This window comes from Homo sapiens, chromosome 8, assembly GCF_000001405.40.
Source record: "Homo sapiens chromosome 8, GRCh38.p14 Primary Assembly".
NCBI classification, from domain to species: Eukaryota; Metazoa; Chordata; class Mammalia; order Primates; family Hominidae; genus Homo; species Homo sapiens.
In genome coordinates this window covers 27,235,308-27,258,486 of record NC_000008.11, presented here as the reverse complement: position 1 = coordinate 27,258,486, position 23,179 = coordinate 27,235,308, and the positions used below count along the sequence as shown (strand labels likewise).

Below are 23,179 nucleotides of genomic sequence, written 5' to 3'. Positions count from 1 at the left end.
CACTGCTGGCCAATCACAGAGCTTGGAGGTGATGTCATGGCAAGAGCGAGCAGTGGTGCTGATGTTGAGAGAAGCCCAGGGTACCACTAATTGAGGGAGTGAGGAAGAGAGCAGCTCGCTTCTAACTGGACTGCACGTAAGTAGAAATAAAATGCAACTAATTTGAGGCTTTTCAGGCAAAAGAAAAAACAAGACAGCAGCTACAGTGGGGAGAAGCGAGGGGCCTAGCACCTATTGTGTCACCTTTGGTTCTACTCAATCATTTAAACTTTGTCAGATCTTGGGGGAAAGGGGGTGAGGCAGAAAGAATGGCGCTCGGCCAAGGGGTGAGGGTGGGCTCCGGGTGCCACTTTTATTCCAGAGCTCAGGAGAGGCAGGATGGGTGGGAATTGTCAGATGCTATGGTGAGCTATTTCTGCATAAAAATGTTTTGTTGCTTAAGGAGAAAGGTTTTGTGCTGAGTCTGGCTGCCCCTGCAGCTGGCTGTGACCTGAAGATCCCTTTCAAGTGGGAAGCTCTCCTGTGTTTTTACCTTTTCTTCCTCAGACACAGCTTTTCTTGTCTCCCATTCCCATTTTGATCACACATCTTTTCCTTCGGCTCTATGCACGGGTTACTTTTTTCTCTTGGTTCTAAGGATGCAATGAGATCATCACCTCCTCTTGGCCCCGCCCCACCCTGAGGTCAGCCTAATCCTACCTGGCCAGAGGTGGCTGGCTCCAAAGCTGAAAACTGCAGACACCCAGAACTGCCACGCCCTGGTCCTTGACTGGGGCCCTGGCCAGTCCCCCTCCTTATTCAGCCCACCACACTTGCCAGGAGTTTAGGCATCATTCATTTCTCATCCTGGGACCCAGGGTTTTGATGTCCAGCAGTCAGCTGTCCCCACGTGGCGGTGCTGTCTTTGTTTTATTTCTCCCAGGAAGACACAATCAGGTGTGGTGGAGTCTTGTTGTCCTGAACATGAGCAGGTCTCCAGAATGCTGTGTGTGTGTGTGTGTGTGTGTGTGTGTGTGTGTGTGTGTGTTTGTATGGGGGTCGGAGGGAGAGGTCAGGAATGTTCAGGCACCCTTATCTGAATGCCCTGGGAAGGGATACCCCCTGTCTTAAGACCAAGAGAATACAAGGTGGGATGGCCAGAGGTGGCCTGCTGAGGCTCGAGGGATGGGTGGGAGGTTGAGAGGGAATATGAGGGAATCTGTCTCCACCTGAGGCTGAGCCCCCGCCTCCCAGGGGGAGGAAACCTCTCCCACAGGCGGGTGCTAGGGGAATGAGATCATCCTTCAGATGAGGAAATAATCATAGTGCTGGAGCAGTGAGAAGGCAGAGGGGAAAAGGTCTGATCTGCAGCTCCACAGAAGGAAGCCAGAGTCTCCCAGCAATGCTGCCCTAGTCTCTGGCTCACCCCAACCCTCCGCTTTGCTGCTAGGAGCTGTACTTTCACCCCTCTTGGAAACCACTGAGCACCTGTCAGCTGGTCCCAGCCCTCCTGGCATTCTCAGCTCCACCCAGGCCACTCCTGGAACAGCTCTGGAGTGAGCAGGATCTGCAAGTGCTAGATGGGACTACCATAGAGCATGCTGCCCTGTAGGGAGTGAGTTCCCTGTCACTGAAGGCATTCAAGCAGAAGTTGGATGGCCACCCAGCAGGGAGGCTTTAGAGGAGATTTTTGCATTATGTTAGGGATTGGTCTAGGTTAGTGTTTTAACTGAAGGCTGAGACCCATTAGTACATTGTGAAATCAACTTATGGATTGTAAATGGTATTTTGTTTTAATAAAATGGAATAAGAGTAGAAAATAATTAGAGCACATCTCATGTAATGGGATAATTAATGCTTCCTATGCTGTCTTTAGTTACATATCAGTTATGTGTATATTTGTGTGTACAAATGTACATATATGTCTGTATCTGTAATCATATATGTGTGTATATGTCCATATCATGACAAATACATACTGGATCATAATATAAAATGTAGCACCTTTTGTGAGCTTCAGTCAAAAAAGTTTGAGAAACATTAGGCTAAGTGACTTCTAATTACCTCTCCTAACCCTAAGACTACAAGCCTATGAAAAACTCCCAATAGATAGTCAACCTTTTTTTTTTAATTTTTAACTGCGGTAAATACACATAACATAAAATTTGCCATTCTATTTTTAAGTGTACAAATCAGTAGTATTAAGATTTACATTGCTGTGCATGCAATCTTCAGAACTCTTTTCATTTGGCAAAACTGAAACTCCATACCCATTAGACACTAACTTCCCATTCTCCTGTGCCCCAGCCCCTGGAAAATCCCATCCTACATTCTTTCTCTATAAATTTAACTCCTCTAGGTACCTCAGATAAGTGGAATCATACAGTACTTGTCTTTTTATGATTGGCTTATTTCGCTGAGTGTAATGTCCTCAAGGCTCATCCATGTTGTACACTGTGTGTCCCTATTCCCAAGTAAAAAATAAGTGCCTTTAAGTTGTAATTAAATCTAAATATTTTTTTTTATGGGAAGCTGTCCTTCTTTAGTGAGTTACTTCATTCTAAAGGACCTATCAAAGACGGAGAAGTTTGGTCTCATATTGTCCATAGTGGCCAGGTTGTCGACTAGAGGTGGAGGGACGGTGAAAGTGTCCTGCATTTTTGCTTGGATGGCTGCTTAATAGCTAGATTTCACTTTGGTTCAATAAAAGAAACCCAAATTCCAAGTGGCTATCTTCTTTTACTGGACTAGGCCATTTTTAACCACATTTTTCCTGTAGGGGGATGTGGGCTGATTGATAACTTTTAAAATAGAGCAACAAAGATTGACAAACTGAGGTTCAGAGAATAGGGTATTTGAGCAGGAAAAAGGAACATGGGGCAAATAAATTAGGAAGGTAAGAGAGAGATAAAGAAAGGAGGAGAATTGTGTCTATATTAAACCAACTGTATAGACGGATTGGAAAAATTCAGATATTTTGTGTTCTTGCTTTTAAATAATAGGATATTTAAGTATCAAGATCATAATCAAAGAAAGGCTTAATTTTTCAAGAATGCTTCAGACTGTCTCCCCTGCCCCCTCTGATATCTTTATATTATTTCATACTTACCTGGAGATTCTCATTTGGAAACATAGAGTTCCCGGAGATTTTGAAGACACAGATGGGGAGAAATGAAACTGCTTTTGTGGGAGGAGAGATAGAAATTTTGGGGAATTATACAACATGTAAAGTGTAATTTTCGTAACGCCACTCAGGGAACAAATCCATTTTTTTTAAGCTTGAGAAATAAACATACATCATGTATAATTCGATTTGCTTATTAAATTAGCATTTGCTATATTTAGAGATGTGACAGCCTGGGAAAGGTTGCTTTTTCTGTTTTTCTTTAGAGAGGGATGGATACCAAAAATTCTTCCCTGCCATTTAAAAATTGTTTTTTTTTTCAGAGTTTTACATCTCTAGTCCCTCTAGGAAGACAAATGAATACATGCACACCTGCGCCCTTCCCACCTACATATGCATGCACACACATGAACCCCCACATCTGAACACTCCCACTCCATCCCCTACACACACGAGTGCTCCCACTCCATCCCCTACACACACATGTGAATGCTCCCACTCCATCCCCTACACACACATATATGAGTGCTCCCACTCCATCCCCTACACACACATGAACCCCCACATCTGAACACTCCCACCCCACCCCACCCCCTACACACAGATGTGAGTGCTCCCACTCCATCCCCTACACACACATATATGAGTGCTCCCACTCCATCCCCTACACACACATATATGAGTGCTCCCACTCCATCCCCTACACACACATGAACCCCCACATCTGAACACTCCCACCCCACCCCCTACACACATGTGAGTGCTCCCACTCCATCCCCTACACACACATAGGCATACCTATCCCTCCCCACCGAAGCCCAAAGCTTGCTGGCCTTTCCATCAATTAAAACTGAGAGCTGCGTGTCCACTCCCCTAGGGTCCTGCTGTCAGAGGCGGGTGGAGGGAGGCAGGAGAACAGAACAGATCAGAAAAGGCGGGAGCCTGGGGCTGGATGGCCTGATTCATGATGGGCTTTAGGCAACTCGAGAGTTTGGATAACAAACTGGAGAATATGAATCCAGAGAAAGGAGCTGAGCGCAGATCTAGGATGAAAGACCCAGAGTGGGAGGATGAGCAGAGTGTCAGTGGACCATGTGGGAGTCTGTGCCTAGACAGCCAGACTAGAGGGAGAAAAGTTCACACTGAGCATGCAGAAAGAGTTGGTCAGGGAGTAGCACCTTTCAGGCAGACTCTGTGTGCCCACACACAAACACAATTCAACTATTGATCCTGGAGAGGGTTGTCTAGCATCTGCACCTGCCATCAAACCAGATGTGTAAGGACTTAAGAAACATACCATGGGCCGGGCACGATGGCTCACACCTGTAATCCCAACACTTTGGGAGGCTGAGGTGGGCAAATCGTTTGAGGTCGGGAATTCAAGACCAGCCTGGCCAATATGGTGAAATTTCATCTCTACTGCAAATGCAAAAGTTAGCTGGGCATGGTGGTGCACGCATGTAATTCCAGCTCCTCGGGAGGCTGAGGCAGGAGAATCGCTTGAACCCGGGAGGCGGAGGTTGCAGTGAGCCAAGATTGCACCACTGAACTCCACCCTGGGTGACAGAGCAAGACTCCGTCTTAAAAAAAAAAACAATTCCTTTCTGAAAAACAATTACTCCAAGAAGTACTCTAGCTAATCAAAAAAAAAATCAAATTAAAGAAATCAAATACAAAAAAAAATGGTATCAATGATGGTCACAAGTAAAGAAAACACCAGAATTTAGAGCCATTGTCTAGTTATAATTGGCATATTTATAAAGCTAAATGCAAATGTCAAACATCTTGAGGCTAGGGGATGTGTTTGTAAGATCATCACTGGATCCCTAGTGCTTTGCATAATGCACATAGTAGATCCTCAATAAATATTTGTTGAATGAATAATGTAAGAAAGAACTCAATAACGATAATCCAGAACTGAAAATCCAGATCATTCTGACAAAACCAGGTTTGTACAGAGAGGTTTGTTGCTAAACCTCTCATCTCACACAAATAAAATCATTAGATACTCTTTTATTCTTAATGTTCTTAATGTAGTGAAATATAGACATAAAAGATTTTAACATAAAGCTAAAATTAAAAGTAATATGTAAAATTTACAAAGCATTGGAGAATGAAAGAATAAAGAAAACAAGAGCAATATTGCAAAAGATAAGGAATTTCTTTCAGCGTAGTTCAATGTGGGCCAGAAGCTTGGCTCTGTTCTCTCTGAGACCTCAGGCAAGGCACTTCTTGGGCTCCTTGTCTCCTCCTCTGAAAAGAGGTAGGAATGGAAACTCTAGAGAGCTCCATGGCTGCTACTAACTCTGGGACTGCAGAATGGGCAGAGAGCTTGACCTCTGGGAATTTCTACAAGGTTCATTGGTTGTCCTCTGCTGATATGAAAATGAGTTAATTTAGTACACTTGATAGGTCAGTTGTGTGCATTTTAACAGGGACTCTCTGAGGCAATGCCTGAGCTGAAGGATAGATATAATGGTGAGAATTTTAAGCATGGAATGCACCCATAGAAGGGAGGCTGATATGGGGTATTTGCCTGCCCTTCAATCACATGCCATCAGCAATCATCCATTGCATTTACATCTAGGGTAGTCTTGGATATGAGGACATAACATGGAGCTTTATCAGAAATTGCATGGGCTTTGATATAAGAAGATTTCAATTCAAATCCCATGTTTACCACTTTCTACTTGTATGACTTTGGGCAAATCAAGTCACTTACCTAAATTGATGATCTATTAAGTGTGTATAAGATTTGGTGTGCAGAATAAAATGATAAAATATGTATGCCCTGGCCAGGCACGGTGGCTCATGCCTGTCATTCTAGCACTTTGGGAGACTGAGGCCAAAGGATCACTTAAGCACAGGAGCTTGAGGCTAACCTGGGCAACACAGTGAGACCCCATCTCTACCTTAAAAAATTTTTTTTGATGGGGTTGTTTGTTTTTTTCTTGTAAATTTGTTTGAGTTCATTGTAGATTCTGGATATTAGCCCTTTGTGGCGATTCCTCAGGGATCTATAACTGGAAATACCATTTGACCCAGCCATCCCATTACTGGGTATATACCCAAAGGACTATAAATCATGCTGCTATAAAGACACATGGACACGTATGTTTATTGCGGCATTATTCACGATAGCAAAGACTTGGAACCAACCCAAATGTCCAACAATGATAGACTGGATTAAGAAAATGTGGCACATATACACCATGGAATACTATGCAGCCATAAAAAATGATGAGTTCGTGTCCTTTGTAGGGACATGGATGAAATTGGAAATCATCATTCTCAGTAAACTATCACAAGGACAAAAAACCAAACACTGCATATTCTCACTCATAGGTGGGAATTGAACAACGAGATCACATGGACACAGGAAGGGGAATATCACACTCTGGGGACTGTTGTGGAATGGGGGAAGGGGGGAGGGATAGCATTGGGAGATATACCTAATGCTAGATGACGAGTTAGTGGGTGCAGCACACCAGCATGGCACATGTATACATATGTAACTAACCTGCACAATGTGCACACGTACCCTAAAACTTAAAGTATAATAATAAAAAAAAAAAGAAAAAAAAAGATGGCAAAAAAGAAATTTTTTTTAAATGTAGATTCCCTTGCTTTTGTAAAAGCCCTGGTTTCTGGCTTATGTAAAAATAGTAGACAGAGGGGAAAAAACCTAGAAGAAAATGCCAATAGCATAAAGTAGCAAGACTACAAGGATTTATTTTCTTTTTTTCTGTTACATAGAATTTCCAAAATATAATGTGAATATGTTTGTAATTAAAGCATTATTTATAAGATGCACATATGCCTATAGATGTAATCATAAAGCAATATTCAATCACATTGTTGTTATTGGGAGTAAGATTAAAAGGGCTTGCCCTGTATATTGATGGCTTCATGTGCTTTTAACCCAGGACCTCACAGAACTCCTGGGTCACATGCCTTGCACACTCTCCAGCAGCCCAGAATGGAAGTCCATGCCCCTGAACTTGACTTCTGTGATGCTGATTCTTCTGCATATGTATATATATAATATATATACACGTATATACGTATATATATAATATTATATGTATATATATATACGTATATACGTGTATATATATATATTTATTTTTTGAGATGAAGTCTCACTCTTTCACCCAGGCTGAAGTGCAGTGGCATGATCTCAGCTCACTGCAACCTCCACTTCCTGTGTTCAAGTGATTCTCCTGCCACAGCCTCCCGAGTAGCTGGGACTGAGACTACAGGCATGCACCACCACGCTGGGCTAATTTTTGTATTTTTAGTAGAGATGGGGTTTCACCATGTTGGCCAGGCTGGTCTCGAACTCCTGACCTCATGATTTGCCTGCCTCAGCCTCCCAAAGTGTTGGGATTACAGGCATGAGCCATCGCACTCAGCCGCTTCTGCATATATTAAATTGGAAATAAAAATTGCCCAGAAAATCCCATCATTGTGGATTATTTGGGGCTGTCACTTTTCCAGTTTAATTTTCCTTCTCTGACTTGCCTCTTAACATAGCTGTTAGTGCTAAGAAGGACTCCTCAGATTCAGGCCTTCAGAGTTCTGCTTTTGTCATAGGTGCTTATTTCCTAGAAGCCTAAGCCTGTTGGGTACCCTCTGGGAGTTGCCCTTGTCCAGGTCCCCATCATCTCTTCCTCTAGATGCTGTTGGAAGCAAGAGCCTAAGAGGTGATTAAACAATGCCAGTTTCCCCAGACCCAGTGAATCACACACTGTTCTGTTTTGCCCAGTTTCCCTCTGTAGGTCTCGCTGGTTCCTTCTTGGTCTGCACTCTAATTCCCACTCCTTCTCCCTTTATGGCATGGTCCACATTATCGCGGAAGACCATGCTGAGGCCCGCAGAGCATCTGCAGAGCCTCCAAAGGCTCCAATGGCTCTAGATACCCATCCAGGGACCTGTTTTACTTTTCCACCAACAAAAACTCCTGTGGTTATTTTAGGATCTAGCAGAGGGCTTGGCACATAATTAAATACTCAGTAAATATTGTAGAAAGAATGAAAACCACATTTATGAAAAAATAATTTATCTCCTTTTGATTTTAAACCCAAAGAAGACACATGGCTGCCAATCAGAGCCTTTTGATCAGCATGAAATAACCAGGGCCACTGTTCTGAGCTGACATGATTCATCCCAAAGCAAATAAATGTGGCATTTAGATAGCTTATGCAGCTAATTTTGGGTAAATATATGACCTCAACTGGATTTTGAAGAAGATTGGCAATAGGGCACAGACTTAAAGAACCACCTTCCTGTACTGCTTGTGGTTAGAGGACCTCAGGCAGAATTCATTGCCCCCACAACCATGAGGTATTCATCCTGATTCTTGGCCAGAGTTTCTAGATTTGTCTTCCGAAACCCTTGCCAGGTACAACTCTGTTCAAGCCACTGGGACATGCATTATCTGCTCATCCCTCAAAAATAGTCCAGATGGAATTTGACACATCCTGCAAGCATTCTTGGGGCATTTCTTACAGTGACCAATAAAATGCTTGTTCATTCTGTCGTATGGGCAGTCAGAGGCACTAAGAGGTCAGGCATACACCCAGTAGGTGGCCACGTGTCATCTGAGAACTTGGTGCTTTTCTGTTTGCCCCCTGGACATCAGCTGAATTACGGAAAGCCTGGAAGTGTGGGTTGCATGAAAGTGCCCTGCTGGGGTCTCCCTTCTGTGTATCCATCTTCTCATTCAGAGCTGCTCTGGTGACCATGTGGGCTGTCCCCTCTCATCCAGGATGGTGTTTGGGGACAGAGAAGGAGCAAGTATAAAGGAGAAGGGCATTGACACTGGAATCCATCCAATCTCTGCCAGGAGTTCTCTGCGTGACCTCAGAATCTTTGGTCCCCAAGTAGGAGGCTATTGGCATTTTGGAAGGGACAGTTGTTTATCGTGTGGGACTGATGTATACAATGCAAGACATTTAGACTCGCCAGCCTCTGCCCACTAAATGCCTGTAGCATCCTCAGTTTCATGACCATTGAAAAGTCCCATGTAGTTCCCGGGAGTGAGACTGCACTGAGTCGAGAACCATGGGCTTGTGATTGCCTGTTCTCTCCATCTCTGACATTCAAATGTTCTGGGTGAAATCGAGGGCTCTGATCTCTTCACTTTAACCACCTTTTTCTCCCCACTGTCCCACCGTGAGATCCCTCCTCAGTCAACAGCCTACAACTTCACTCTCAGCCACGTCTGCCTCCAATCAAAACTTACTCATTCTGTGTTTCCTTACGGCTGGCTCTGTGCTTGGGGGGGGTTATCACCCACTAATTTATTTCTTAACAATTATGCTAATGGTTCAAGCCATCAACAAAAAGCTCTGGTTCCTTGCTTTTCTGTACAGACTCTTAGATGCTGGTGCTGGGGGAAATGTATGGATCAGTTTGTAAATGGAAAAATAGTGCTGGGTGAGATGTGAAAACTTCAGAGTGGAACTCAATCCAGCAGGTCCAACCCACACTTTGTACCCAGACTGCTATTTGGCTTCCAGCCTATCCCTCCTAATTTTTCCCCAAACGAATGTTGCCAGATGAATCTTTTTACACTCGCAGCAGAACCTAAAGACAGAGAGGCTTTCCAATGAAACACATGAGGACTCAAATCCCAGCTCTGCCCCTACCTACCTGTGTGACGACGGTATAACTTACTTAACTGCTGAGATTCAATGTCCTCATTCTCAAAGAACCTAATAGAAAAATGAGATAACAGCCGTGCTTTTCCTGCCCAAGAATGGTAGTTGTTATTATTGCTATTATTATCAGCATCACTGTTCTCTTCTCCCCTCATTCAAAAGATGTCAGTGGCTTCCTACTGGGTGGGAGATAAAGCACAAAGTCCTTCACTGGTCCAGAGGTCTCTGCAATTTTCCAGTTCCTATTCTAGCATTCTGTCCCACTGCACCCTGCATGCAGCCCAGTGGGCCTCCTGTGTTCCTGAGTAAACCCAGTCCACATCCCTGGCACACAGTCAGGTTCACAGTCATTGCAAGGTGATAGGCACTGCAGAACCTCAATTGCATAGTAACCTCATCACAGTCTGGGATGAGGCCACACTCGAATCTTTGCCATCTGAAGATCTAGCAGAGGGCTTGGCACAGAATTATATACTAAATAAATAAATAAATAAATAAATAGAGTCCTCTCTCTACCTGCTCCACTGGATCAATCCCTGCCAGCACAGGGGCTCAGCTGCCCAGGGAGGCCTTGGCTCTTGACCAACCAGTTTGTGTCCATCAGAAGTGCTTGACAGTGACCACCAGGCAGGAGCTGGAGGGCCTGCCATCCTGAGCTCTAGCTCTGGTTCTGGATATTGGCTGAATGACTGCCACATTGACCTTCTGTCTGGGGCTCCTTTGATCTTTGTTGCTGCTGGATGCAATGAATTTCCTGGTCTTCCTTAGGGGCAATAGAAGGGCTAGGATTGGCTCTCACCTAACAGAAAACACATAAGGAACCTCTGAGGGATGGGGATGGAGGTTTGCTTCTGCACTGGGTTTTGCCTTCCATTGCTCTGCTGGCTGACGTCTTGGATAGAATCTCCCATTGAGGATTTGCACTCCTTGCCTCATGCTTCCTATGGCCTCTATTGTCTCTTCATCTTCATCATGCCACCTGAATCCCTGGCACTCTGTGTGCTCTGACCTTGGGCATAACACCTTTACTGTCCTTCTTTGACAGTTCCAGGAGAGGTTTGGTGGCCCTCGCTCCCTTGCAGGCTGTATATTGCTGTGGCATGATAACATGACCATGGCCATTTAACAAACCCCACAAGACAACCTAGCATCACACAACCAGGCCAGGTGCTGGGGAGGGACATGTGACTGGCCCCACTGGGCGCAGATGCCACAGGTTATTAGGGATAAAGTTGGGTTTCCTGCCATGGCTGGCGCCACCCAGTGGCAAAGACTCCTTTCATCTCTGTGCCCTCTGCTTCCCACCTTTTTATCTTCTGTGTCCTTTCTCAGAATGTCCCCTGGGCATATCTTTTGGGTCTTGAGTGCAAAAGAAATGATGTGACTGTTGGCATGAGGATTTATAAGGGCCCTATGGACCCACAGGCACAAGTAAATAGATCATCTTTTTTTTTTTTTTTTTTTGAGACAAAGTCTCACTCTCTCACCCAGGCTGGAGTTCAGTGGCGCGATCTCGGCTCACTGCAACCTTCGCCTGCCAGGCTCAAGTGATTCTCCTACCTCAGCTTCCCTAGTAGCTGAGATTACAGGCATGCGCCACCATGCCGGGCTAATTTTTGTATTTTTAGTAGAGATGGGGTTTCACCATGTTGGCCAGGCTGGTCTCAAACTCCTGACCTCAAAGTGATCTGCCCACCTCAGCCTCCCAAAGTGCTGGGATTACAGCATGAGGCACCACGCCTGGCCACATAGATCATTTTGAGGAATAAATCAGCCCATGTATGAATGCTGGTACCTGAGGTGAAAAAAACCATGGGTTTGAGCCCTGGCTTTGTCACTTCCTGAGGACATTAGTTTCCCCGGGGCTACTGCATCACTTTACCACTAACCGGGAGGCTGGAAGTTCAAAGCTGAGATGTCAGTGGACTGAACTCTGCTGAAGACTCCAGGGGAGGATCTGTCCTTGTCTCTTGCAGGTTCTGGCGGCCCCAAAGGTTCCTTGGCTTGTGGCTGCCTTACTCCCATCTCTGCCTCCGTCTGCACATGGCCTTTTCTCTCAGTCTCTCTTATAAGGACACTTGCCATTGGGTTTAAGGCTTTCTCAGGCAAGCAGGAATGTCTCTTCTTGAGATCCTTCATTAAGCCCTTCTTTCCAAATAAGCTCATATTCACAGGTTGTAGGAGTTAGGATGAGCATGTATGCATGTAGGGGACATTATTTAACCTACTGTACTGAATGGCCTTGAAAAGGCACTTAGCTTCCCTGAGCCTCGATTTCATTCTCTATAAAATGGGGATAGTAATTCCTGCCTTACGAGGCTATTACGAAAATTAAAGTGAGTTTGTCACATAGCAGCTGCTCAGTAAGCACACATTTTTAACACTGAGAGGTCTCCATTGCAAATCCCTTGATCATGACCATGCATACCTCTGCCCACCTCTACAACATCTCGTTTCTTGCCCTGGTTTTCCTTTTCTGGCTTTCTGACCTTCTCTGTGTTCCTAAAACTCCTAGCCCATTTCCTTCCATGTAGAAAGCACTTACCACATATTTTAAAGTTAACTCATATCCCCAGGCCAGGCTGGCTTTCTGTGAGTCCTCAGGACCATAGAGAAAGCATTAGTGAGTATCTAGTTCTTCCACTGGTTACAATGGAAGAGCTTACAAGTCGAGAGACCTGGAGACTAGACCCAGCTCTGCACCCTTAGAGCTGTGTGACCTTAAGCAAGCGTCTGAACTTCTCCAAACCCCAGGTTCTTCATCTGAAAGCAAAGCTGATGATGCCTGTCTTGTCAGCCTAAGCCAGCTTCATGCAAAGTTAGACTAGGATAATGTGGTGGGTGTCGAGTGCCCCCTGAGCACAGGGTCCTATCATCATTTCTAGCTCGGGCTGGAGGCACATTCCATAACTCCAACTGCCTGCTCCTACTCCATCTGCCTTCTTTCTCAGGCATCCCTCTCTGCCTCCCCTCCACCTATTCAGGCTTCCACTTCTGATCCTTTCCCCAGGTAGAAGTCCAAGGCCACTGCCACTCTGGCAAGGGCTTACTAACTCTGCCAGTGACTTGTCAGTCAGCCTGGCCATGAGCAGAGACTGCGGGATGGGGTGTCATGACCAGGGAAGTCGCATGCAGGCACCAGGCCTGCCTCTCTGTTCAGGGACTCACTGGTGCCGTCAGGACCAGCTTAGTTCTGCAGAGAGAAGACCCATTGTGCTGCAATGACAGGGGCCTCTGGCTCCAAAGCACAACAACAAGAACAAGGAGAACAAAGCAGTTTAAGTCCAGCTGGACCTCGGTTCAAATGGGCACTCTAACTTGCTAGCTGCATTGCCCTGAGCAGGCACATAAACCCTCTGAGCCTCAGTTTCCCCATCCGCACATGGCAACAACAGTCCTTACTTGTGGGTCCAGAGGTAATGGCTCTGAAGCAGGCATGTGGCACCTGATAGCTGTCCTGATGCAAAAGACAGGGCAAAGAGACTAACATTTATTCAGTGCTTCCTGTCTGCTGGATGCTATGCATGGGTTTTTCTCATTTAATTTGTACAGCTCTGTGCAGGATTAAGATGGAGAAAGAGACTAGCGAGAGCTGGTAAGAGAGGTGATACTTGTATTTGACCCCACACTGGTCTAGCCCTAAAGCCAGAGCTGAGTTCACTGCCCCATTACCTCCTCCTGCCAGTCTCCAGCCAGCACAGAAAGGCAAGGGGTTTGAAGTGGGTCTCAGAGTCTCTTTGGCTGGCAAGGATGTAGGCAGTGAGCCTGCTGGCTCTCGCCACCCTCCCCTGGCACAGTGACCACAGAGGGTGACCGAGGATCAAATGGTCCTGAGGATGGCCACTCACTGCTGGCTGCTCCTCACTCTCTTTGTAGTAGCCTTCATGGGCTCCCATCACCTCCACCCCTCTGATCCTCCCAGATCTGCTCCTTCCCTGACTCTCCTGTTTTGTCTCCTGCCCCGCCCCCTCCTCTTTCCACTTTCTGATCTAGCGTCAACTAGCTTGACCTGATCCCACGGACACTGAGTGGCGTTCTCACCCCGACCCTTGGCCGTGATGTTCCCTTGCACAATGCCCTCCTGCCAGCTCCTGTCTGATTCTAACTCATCCTTCAAGGCACTGCTCAGGTGCTACCGACACCAGGGACACCTCCCAGGCTCCCTGGCAAATGCTGGGGGTGTGGAGCCCTATTTCTGTGTCCCACAGCAATTCCTCATGCTGATTTCTGGTGGTGTGGAGCCCTATCTCTGTGTCCCACAGCAATTCCTCACGCTGATTTCTGGTGGTGTGCTGGCTGGCCCTGTGATGACGACATGATTCCTTAATGTTTTTCTTTCCTGTGTCCCGGATTGTCTTAAATAGGGTCAAACACAGCTTAGGTCAGTCGTCTTGGGAAAGGGAAGGTGAGAGGCATCTGAAGAGGCCTGTTAACATCCTATGTCCAATTCCCTCTCTTCCCATATCAGAATTGGCCCAAAGACTTCTGGGGCATGTGCGGGGAGAAGTCCAGGACACACAGTTATTTTATGAATGCCTCCCAGCTGATTCTGCAGGAGGATTTGCTTCTCACCCTAACCCTTGAATTGGGCCAGGTTCTTGAGCTATGGAGGGAGACAGATGAGCACCCCTTGATCCATACGTTTTTGGGAAACCCACGCTTGCATGTGCTAGGGGGCTTGAGACTGGAAAGCCAATTATGAAGTATCATTAGTTCATGGAATCTGAGCTTGTTTAGCATCATTGTGGGAGGGAGGTCGGGGTAGGGGACCCCCAGGGAGAGTTGGTGGGGAGAGGGCCTGGAGGAAGAGCAAATGAGGTACCCCTGAGATTCCCTCCCCAGTGTATAAAGACCTTTCTTATGAGAATAACCTGTCTAATCCATCGATGGTAAAATCCTGTCCTCCCCTTTTCTCAGGTTGGTGACAGCGTCCCAAGCTGGTGACAGACCCACTCTGTAACTTTCAGCTAGATTCAGCCACCAGATCCCAGAAACATGACCCTTGCTGGTAGGTACAAAAACCATGTGTTAAGGGGCGTAGGCTATTCCCCCTGCCCTCACCCAACATGGACTCACAGAAGCAGGGAAGAACACAGCTGGCAGGAAGCACACGGGGTGTGTGGGGGGGTGCAGGTAGTGATGGGAGGCTTGGGGGCATGCAGGCAGTGGCGGGAGGCACACCACTGCCTGTCACCACAGGCGACAAGTTGAACAAGTGGTGGGGGGTGTGTCACAGCTGAGATTTTCTTCCTTTTGCTCATCTGTATATGTGTGTTTTTTTTTAAGTTTTTATGATGCCTATATATTATTTTTGCAGTTACACGTATTTTCAAATCTGTAAAAGGAAGCCAGGTATAGTGGCATATGCCTATAGTCCCCAGTATCAGGAGTCTGAGGCACAAGGATCGCTTGAGCCCAGGAGTTTGAGTCCAGCCTGGGCAACATATTGAGACCCTCATCTCAACAAAAAATTGTACAAGCAAATGAGGATGGGGGCAACACCTGCGCTGTGCTAGGGGTCAGCTAAGGGCTGCAACCTGAGCAGCCAGACACACGGGCCCCAAGGCGGTGAGGAGAGGGACTTTCAGGAGCCAGGACAGCTCTGGCCCCTGACATCCCAAACACAGATAGACTAGAGGGTGGCGGGGATATGCTCCAGCTTTTGGGGACACCAGCGACCCCCAGGCTCTGTGCACTGTGTTGGAAAGGTCAGAGAAGGCTTATAGCCTGACCTTGTGAGGGGCAGACCAGAGGGATGGTGGTGAGGACGGTCCCCTCCTATCCAGCTCCTTAACCCTGCAGGCCAGCGCTGCCAGGTATTTGGAGTAGAATGGAGTGTGGGTCTCCTGTGTCCTGGAGAAAAAGAATCGGAATGTCCTGGGGCAGATGTTGGGGGATGGAGAGCTGAGGCACTGGTGCTTGGGACCTTTCCATGAGGGCATTTTGCTTTCTGGTCTGGAAGGGGAGGAGACATACTGTGGAGAAGGATCTGATGCTCTGGAAGGCTTAGGTTTCCACAGGAGACAGGAGTGGGTTCGAATCCCACACAGGGATCCTGAACAGCACGGCTCAGGGCGAAAGGCCTGGATCCCCAGGCTTGGCGTGTGCCTGCGTGGTTTGAGTGCCTTTATGGAACCCTGGGCTGCTCAGAGCCCCAGACCCGTGAGGACGCTGACTTCTGAGGCTAGGAGAGGCGCCATCCTCACCTGACTGGGTGTTTCCGCAGCCTACAAAGAGAAGATGAAGGAGCTCCCGCTGGTGTCCTTGTTCTGCTCCTGCTTCCTGGCCGATCCCCTGAATAAGTCGTCCTACAAATATGAAGGTCAGTGAAGGCTCAGCCAGGAAAGTGAGGGGCGGGGGGGCCCTGTGTCCTGTCCTCATAGGTCCTGCACCCCGACCCCAGTCCCGTGAATCTCTCCTCCCGAGACAGTTTCCTTCCCAGTGCCGATGAAATCACAGCGGGTGAGCCCGAGGGTCTGAGCTGCAGTGGTCCAGCCTGGGCACTAGGGGGAGGCCATGAAGGTCTGCATCAGGCGCCCCCCAGAGTGCACTCGATCTTGTCACCTCTGTGCATGCATCCAGCAAATCGAGACTGGGGGGTATGCAAAGGTGAGCCAGACAGATATTCTACCTGTGGGGAACATCTAGACCAGAAGAGAAGATGAGACGATGTGAGTCAGTTTCCAGGTCAACAGGTCTCCTCTGGGAAGGGTAGAGAATGCTCTGGGAGAGTCCAGAGGTGGGAAGAGGAGGTTCTGTGGCAGCCATGCTGTGTGGGGCCTGTAGCCGGGACAGCCCCAAGACACCAGCAGGGAGCACTGGGTGGCCACGTCCTCACCAGGGGTGCTCGGGGACCAGGTCACCTCCTAATGTCCTGGTTAGAAGCAGAGATGGGTTTGGTTTGGTCTGGCACCAAGGAACAGGCATGCTCGGATGACCTGAGGTTGTTTTTTCTGTCTAGGCTGGTGTGGGAGACAGTGTAGGAGGAAGGATGAAAGCCAGCGGAAAGACAGTGCTGACTGGAGAGAAAGAAGAGCTCAGGGTAGGAGGGAGGCAGCGGAGGGATTCCGCAGGCCGAGCGTCAGATGGGCTGTGGCCGGGGGTGGGCGGGGGCTGAAACGCACCCCTGCCTGTCACCACGGACGACAAATTGAGCAGCTCAGCAGTCAGAGGAGGCTGGTGGGGGAAGCAAAGGCAAAAGCAGCCAGTGTCGTAGGAAATCACATTGCCTGGGGCCCCCTATTCTTGCAGGCTGAAGCCTCACTGTTGCTACAAACTCCTTCAGCCCCGTCAGAGGCCATTGCCCTTAGGTACTAGGGTGTAGGACTAAGCCAGACCCCAGTCTCCAGCTTGCTTGGGGCCCCAGTTCTCCCACTCCCGTGTGCATGCGCCGCATGCTTGCTGGGTGCCTGTGCATTCTTCAGGACGTGAGCAGCCCCTTCTCTGCCCTCTGTAGCAGACACGGTGGACCTGAATTGGTGCGTCATTTCCGACATGGAAGTCATCGAGCTGAACAAATGCACCTCGGGCCAATCCTTTGAAGTCATCCTGAAGCCACCCTCCTTTGATGGGGTTCCCGAGTTCAACGCCTCCCTGCCAAGGCGGCGAGACCCATCCCTGGAAGAGATCCAGAAGAAACTAGAAGCGGCTGAGGAGCGAAGGAAGGTAAATGCTGACCCTTCCTTCTTTCCTCCCTCTCAGCATAAAGGGGAGGGAGGTGGAGAAGACAGGTGGTGGACCTGAGCTGGGATAAGCTCATCACCAATCTGCAATATTTAGGGAGCATCTCCCGAGTGTGCGGTGGAGAATGAGACACCATTGAGGGAAACAAAGAACTAAACACCCTTGGCCTCTTGCAGCTCACAGTTTGGTTAGGGGGATAGGACATTGCTATGTTCCTCCAAGAGGTGGCCCTATATGCATGGTGGCAAAAATAAGACTGACAAATACTAAGGATTTAGGGAAAGGCTAGGGAATTAAGGAAAGAGCTTCTTCGTTGGAGGAGGGAGAGAAGATCATGGTGTAGTGCATCTCGAGGCCCGGGATGCCTTCTATGGATTCTCATGGCTTGATTCTGATACCGTCTTCTATGTGTAACTTTTCTTTATCTTTCAAAAAGAAAATAATCCCCTATCATGAATTCCTTCAGTGCATCCTGTCTACACCTTAGGGCATATGTCTACACTAGTCTGGATTTTAGTGATGTATATATGTCTTACCTCTGTGAGACTTTTTTTTACCCCAAGCTGTTAGACCAGTGCCTGGCACATAGTATAAGATCATTTAGTGTTTGTGAATGAATGAATGAATGATGGCAATGAGCAAAAGGGCCATGAAGGTATTTAGGAAAAGGCTGGGAAAAAAAATCAAAGAATGTGGAAGGCTCTGAAAGTGGTGGGGGGAATTTAGGAAGTGTCCTTGTTTCCTGCTAATGGTCTGGGGACCAGGCCCAGGGAGGTGAGTGTTCTGAGTGTGCAGCTTTTCAGCCACGATGGTGAAAATAAACCCTGGCACACTCACTGTGAAGGGCCTCCTTCTGCCTTTATGCTTCCCCAGTACCAGGAAGCGGAGCTCCTGAAACACCTAGCAGAGAAACGGGAACATGAGAGAGAGGTGATCCAAAAGGCCATTGAGGAAAACAACAACTTCATCAAGATGGCTAAGGAAAAACTGGCCCAGAAGATGGAATCCAACAAGGAGAACAGGGAGGCCCACCTCGCCGCCATGTTGGAACGGCTGCAAGAGAAGGTGAGGGGTCCCTGGCTAGAGAGGAGTTTCCTGGGACATGCTGTTTTCCTTCTGCAGCAAGTATGCGGGGACCTGCTGATCATCTCAGGGAGGAAGCAGCCTCAGGCAAAAATCAGGATCTTTTTCTTAGGCAGGATCTTTAGAGAGTTCCGAAGGATGATCAGGGAAGTCAGAGGCAAGAAATAGGAACCAGACTCAGGGTTTCCTTGGGGGATATTCTGCACAGTTACACAATTAAAATCCTTCATTGCCTTAGGGAGCATATATGTCTGATTTTCTAGAAGAAGCCTGTCTAATACAAAGGAGTAGAGATAGACAAGCAGGTATGCATTCCTAGCTTCATCCCTGAATGGATTGATTTGATGGAAGGAAAGATGCTTTCTTGAGCTCTTGGCTCTAAGTCACGGGTATGATGAGCTGAGATTCCCACTGAGCAGGAAACATGATTCTCTCTAAACCTCTTGACACAGACCCAGTGAGTCACAGGTCTTTCCAATATGTTGCCTTTTGTCAATAAATGGAACGGTGTCACCTAAATATGAGAAACATGAGGCCGGGGTTGGTTCTGTGTGTCAGCAGAATACCGGCCCGTTCTGCTGAGAACACGCTGGCCTCATTTCCTGAGTCTCAAGGCCGCCCCAGTTTCTCCTGCAGCTCCTGGGAGAGCTCCAGCTCTGTGTTTTATTTCCAGGAACCGCCTGCTGCGCGGTGACTCCCGGGACCTGATCGGTGGCCTCGTCCCATGGTGAGCAGCGTGGTCCCCGCTCCTTCCTGCCCATCCACCTAGAGTCTCAGGCCCTTGGCAACAGGTCCTAGAAGGATCTGGTTTCTTCACAAGGTGTCTGAATGTTGCGTAGGCCCTGGAGCTGGCCAGCACGAGGCAGCCCCTGTGCTCTGATGCACCAGCCTGCAAAGCTTGGCAGGGCCTCCACCAAGTGTCACATGGGAGGGAGGTGATCTGGGTCGGCCCTCAGGCTTCTCCAGTTATGGAGGGATGACTTGGAGCAAACTCTTAACAAAAACCTGGGGTTGGGCTAAGATGGGCATGGCCCTGAGGCCAGACCCAAAACAAATCACTGAGGCTCGACCCAGGATATAGCACTTGAGAGACTCTTTGCAAAATACTTTCATTTCCTCTCGCCACTATCCTCACAACAAGTCCCTGAGGCAAGCTGGACAGGTGTTATCCTTATTTTGCAGATGAGAAAAACATGTCAACAAAGGTCAAATGACTTACCCAGGGTCACGAAACTAATAAGCAGTGGAGCTAGGACTAGCACCCAGATCTTTGGCTCCAAGTCCAAGTGGTTCAGGGAGACCAGCCTGTGATTGTCCTGCCAGCCTTTTGTCATCAAGAGAGACTTTGGAGGCCGAGGAAAGGGAGTGCAGAACTTAGGGCTCTGCCCAGTGAGCTCACCCAAGAATGGAGGTAGATTCAGAGGCAGAGAGATCGGTAGATTCAGAGGCAGAGAGACTGGAAAGGTCCATATTGTAGAGTGATGGCTGTGGAGGTCGGGTAGACTCAAAGAGGTGTGAGGTCAGAGCAGACATTTGAGGGGGCAGCATCCCTTTGGGACCTCGGCCCCTGCTCCCCTTTACCCACTGGTGGAGGCGGGAGGTTGGGTGAGAGTTGGGTGTATGTTTTCTGCCCTGTCCACCTGTGCACCAGGCCAGGGACACCTTCAACAATGCCTGCTGTGCCAGTGTTTGTGTGGGTCACTGACCCTGTGTACCAGACTCACTTGGTATAAAATTAAAAAATACAGATACTTGGAACCTTCCCCAGAACACTAATCCTGGCTGTCTAGGGATGGTGCTTCCTAGGTCATGCTGATACATACCAAAGTTTGGGAACCCCTGCCCTGTGCACACCACTCCTCACTCCTAGGCCACAGAAAGTTCTAGGGTGTCTGCAGGGACAGATTCGTAGTTTATAGTTTATCCTGAAAACCTGGGGGCCTCCGTGGGTCTACTTCAGGCTGATTCTGTCATCTGGATGTGACAGTGCCAGGCTCTGGGAGGGACAACATTGGTTGAGTGCTTGCCATGTGTAAGGCACCATAGTAGAAAAGATAATGTGGTCCCTACCCACAGGAAAGTCACCGTCTAATAGAGAACTGTCTAATAGAGAATCTGCACAGTGAGCAGGTGAACACTAAACATCACAACTTGAGGGGTGAAAGACCACCTGTCTATGCCCTTCTCTTTAAAGATCAGAGAACTGAGGCCTGGTTGGAGAAGTGAGCCAGCCAAGATCCTCCTGCAGATGGGCCTTGGAAGGCAGATGCTATCTTTTGGCTGCACTACCCTGTGAAATAAAAGAAGGTTCTCTTATAATAGGTGTAAGAAAGTCCACTTTTTGGAGTTGGGCAACATTTTCAAAATTCTTCTGTCGATTTGCACTTTAAGAGTCCACACCTGGGCACGGTGGCTCACATCTGTAATCCCAGCACGTTGGGAGACAGAGGTGGGAGGGTCATTTGAGGCCAGGAGTTAGAGGACAGCCTGGGCAACATAGCAAGATCCCATCTCTATTTTTGTTTAAATAATAACAAAGGAAAATCAAAGAATCCTCATCTTTCACCAAGAGGGTTAAGGCAATTCTCACAAAGGAGATGGATGAGAACTAGAAGCAGCAGGCAGGTGCATGTGATTTGTAGGGGATGCTTGTAGTGAGGCCTGTCTGTTCTGCCTGCTCCTCTGGCACAAATTACCCCCAGCAGCTCCTTATATTAAGTCAAGCCATATGATCTAATCCAAACCACAGAATGGCCAGGTGAGGGAGGGGGAGGCTGCGTGGCCCATGGTCACTGTAAGGTGGGCCCCTGCTGCAGTTTGACACCCACAGGACCCTGAGCTCCCTGGGGCAGCACCAGTAGGCTTGCCCCCTGCCTCCTGCCAGCCTCACCTGCCACCTTCTGCCCCTCTCGGGATGCCTTTGCAGACAGAGCTCTTCGCTGCCTGTGGTGGCCACTCTTTGCTTTTGGTTCTCTTGCCCCTTGGCCTCCCTTTTTGTCCCCGGGCAGCCTTGTGTGACCTGCCCTTTTCCCTCCCTTCCTTTCCAGGACAAGCACGCCGAGGAGGTGCGGAAAAACAAGGAGCTGAAGGAAGAGGCCTCCAGGTAAAGCCTAGAGGCCAAAGAACTTTCCAGGTCAGCCGGACAGCTCCAGCAGCTCCACGTTCCAGGCAGCCTCGCCCGCCGGCTGCGCTCCCAGCACTGGGGTTTGGGGGGAGGGGGGTGGCCAAGGGGCGTTTCCTCTGCTTTTGGTGTTTGTACATGTTAAGAATTGACCAGTGAAGCCATCCTATTTGTTTCCGGGGAACAATGACGGGGTGGGAGAGGGGAGAGGAGAGAGTTTGGGAAAGGGAGATGGAGAAGAACTCAAGGACATTGCAACCCTGCCCGGCGCAGATCTGATTTTCACATCTCTACCTGGACATTGAGCCTCCAGGCACCATGTTGAGGAGAGATGAAAACCAGGGCGGTAGAACTTCAGGGTGAAGGACAGAGTCCTGGGTGGGGCAGCGGCTGCAGGGCGCACCAGAGAACCCAGCCAGAGGGGTTGTGAGTACCAGTGGTGTTGCTTCCACCCTGCAGCAGGTGGGATGAGGTCTGTGTGTGTGTGTGAACCATCATTTTTTGATCATCATGACCAATGAAACATTGACTCCAAGTGTCCAGTTCTTTATTTCCCAAATGTGTCCTTTGGGTAATTGTTAAAAAGTTCTCGAAACCTGGCTTTCATCCATCTGATGGCAGATGCCCCTTTGCTTCCTTAATTCTGCCATTCAAGCATCTGGAGCCTGGGTGAGGTGGGTTGAATCAGGCCAGCCTTTGGCATAATTGAAAGGTTTTCTCTTCTGTTTTTTAAAATCCCCTCTGTGGGCTAATCTTTATTGGATAGCATGCACTAAATTGATGAGAAAAGAAACTCAATCTTCCTTTCAATGAACTGACATCCTAATATGGTCCCCAAGATGCACTGTAAGAAGGAATTTGTCTTAGTCACAACCGTTCAGACTGCTGTAACAAAATACCTTAGACTAAGTAATTGATAACAGAAATTGATTGCTCACAGTTTTGGAGGCTGGGAAGTCCAATATCAAGGTGCCAGCAGATTCAGTGTCTGGTGAGGGCTTGCCATCTGCTTCAAAGATGATGCCTTTTTGCTGCATCCTCACATGGCAGAAGGGAAGGGCAAAAGGGCTTCCTTGAGCCTTTTCTTTAAGGCACTAATCCCATTCATGAAGGTGGAGTCCTCATGATCTCACCTCTTAAGGCCCTATCTCTTAATTCTGTAGTGTCGGGATTAGGATTCAACCTGTATATTGGGGGAGACAGCAACATTCACACCATAGCAGAAGTCCTCCATGCTTTGGGGGTTTGAGATTCTAGGTAGATTAGAAAATACGAGCAAGGAAATAAAGTGTTTGCTAGTAGAAGGCAAAGGAGGCATCCAGACCCAGCAGTCTTGGTCTCCAGGACACTGAACCATGGCTGGAAAAGAAGCTCTCCTCCTCCCTTCCCCTGCAAACATGAGTGCAGGGGCTGCCTGTGTTAACCGGGTCCCAGGACCTCTTCCCACTCTGCTCTGCACACTGTGTAGTTTTTTACAGCTTTGCAAATAAACCCTTTGGTATAGCCTTTTTTTCTTTCTTCTCA

The 23,179-nt window shown here is 48.0% G+C and overlaps 1 protein-coding gene across 11 annotated transcripts, besides 3 other annotated features; it reads left to right on the top strand.

Moving 5' to 3' along the window:
• The first annotated feature begins 82 nt into the window (after positions 1–82).
• Positions 83–23,179, top strand: STMN4 (stathmin 4). 11 transcript variants are annotated; one of them, NM_001283053.2, is made up of 8 exons: positions 83–136; positions 14,686–14,776; positions 15,995–16,090; positions 16,730–16,810; positions 17,225–17,433; positions 18,325–18,516; positions 19,208–19,261; positions 21,582–23,179. In NM_001283053.2, exons 2-7 carry the CDS (start codon positions 14,764–14,766, stop codon positions 19,226–19,228), a joined length of 612 nt encoding a protein of 203 aa, NP_001269982.1. In that variant the 5' UTR covers positions 83–136; positions 14,686–14,763; the 3' UTR covers positions 19,229–19,261; positions 21,582–23,179. The 11 variants fall into 11 exon arrangements, with proteins under 11 accessions (NP_001269982.1, NP_001381316.1, NP_001381317.1 ...); NM_001394387.1 differs by lacking the exon at positions 16,730–16,810 and adding an exon at positions 13,762–13,897 and having other exon boundaries at positions 17,228–17,433; NM_001394388.1 differs by lacking the exon at positions 16,730–16,810 and having other exon boundaries at positions 17,228–17,433.
• Positions 15,380–16,331: an enhancer, noted in NCBI's record as "H3K27ac-H3K4me1 hESC enhancer chr8:27099673-27100624 (GRCh37/hg19 assembly coordinates)". NCBI's record gives its function as "activates a minimal SCP1, AML or CMV promoter by ChIP-STARR-seq in primed H9 embryonic stem cells {active_cell/tissue: H9 hESC(primed)}" and the evidence as "EXISTENCE:reporter gene assay evidence [ECO:0000049][PMID:30033119]".
• Positions 21,025–21,525: an enhancer, noted in NCBI's record as "H3K4me1 hESC enhancer chr8:27094479-27094979 (GRCh37/hg19 assembly coordinates)". NCBI's record gives its function as "activates a minimal SCP1, AML or CMV promoter by ChIP-STARR-seq in naive and primed H9 embryonic stem cells {active_cell/tissue: H9 hESC(naive and primed)}" and the evidence as "EXISTENCE:reporter gene assay evidence [ECO:0000049][PMID:30033119]".
• Positions 21,526–22,026: an enhancer, noted in NCBI's record as "H3K4me1 hESC enhancer chr8:27093978-27094478 (GRCh37/hg19 assembly coordinates)". NCBI's record gives its function as "activates a minimal SCP1, AML or CMV promoter by ChIP-STARR-seq in primed H9 embryonic stem cells {active_cell/tissue: H9 hESC(primed)}" and the evidence as "EXISTENCE:reporter gene assay evidence [ECO:0000049][PMID:30033119]".

Excerpts from the sequence above, each read along its gene's own strand:
- STMN4 (XM_005273652.5), top strand. Across the intron at positions 16,091-16,729 it reads GTCGTCCTACAAATATGAAG|GCTGGTGTGGGAGACAGTGT; the intron begins GTCAGTGAAGGC and ends TTTTCTGTCTAG. Across the intron at positions 16,811-17,224 it reads GAGAGAAAGAAGAGCTCAGG|CAGACACGGTGGACCTGAAT; the intron begins GTAGGAGGGAGG and ends TGCCCTCTGTAG.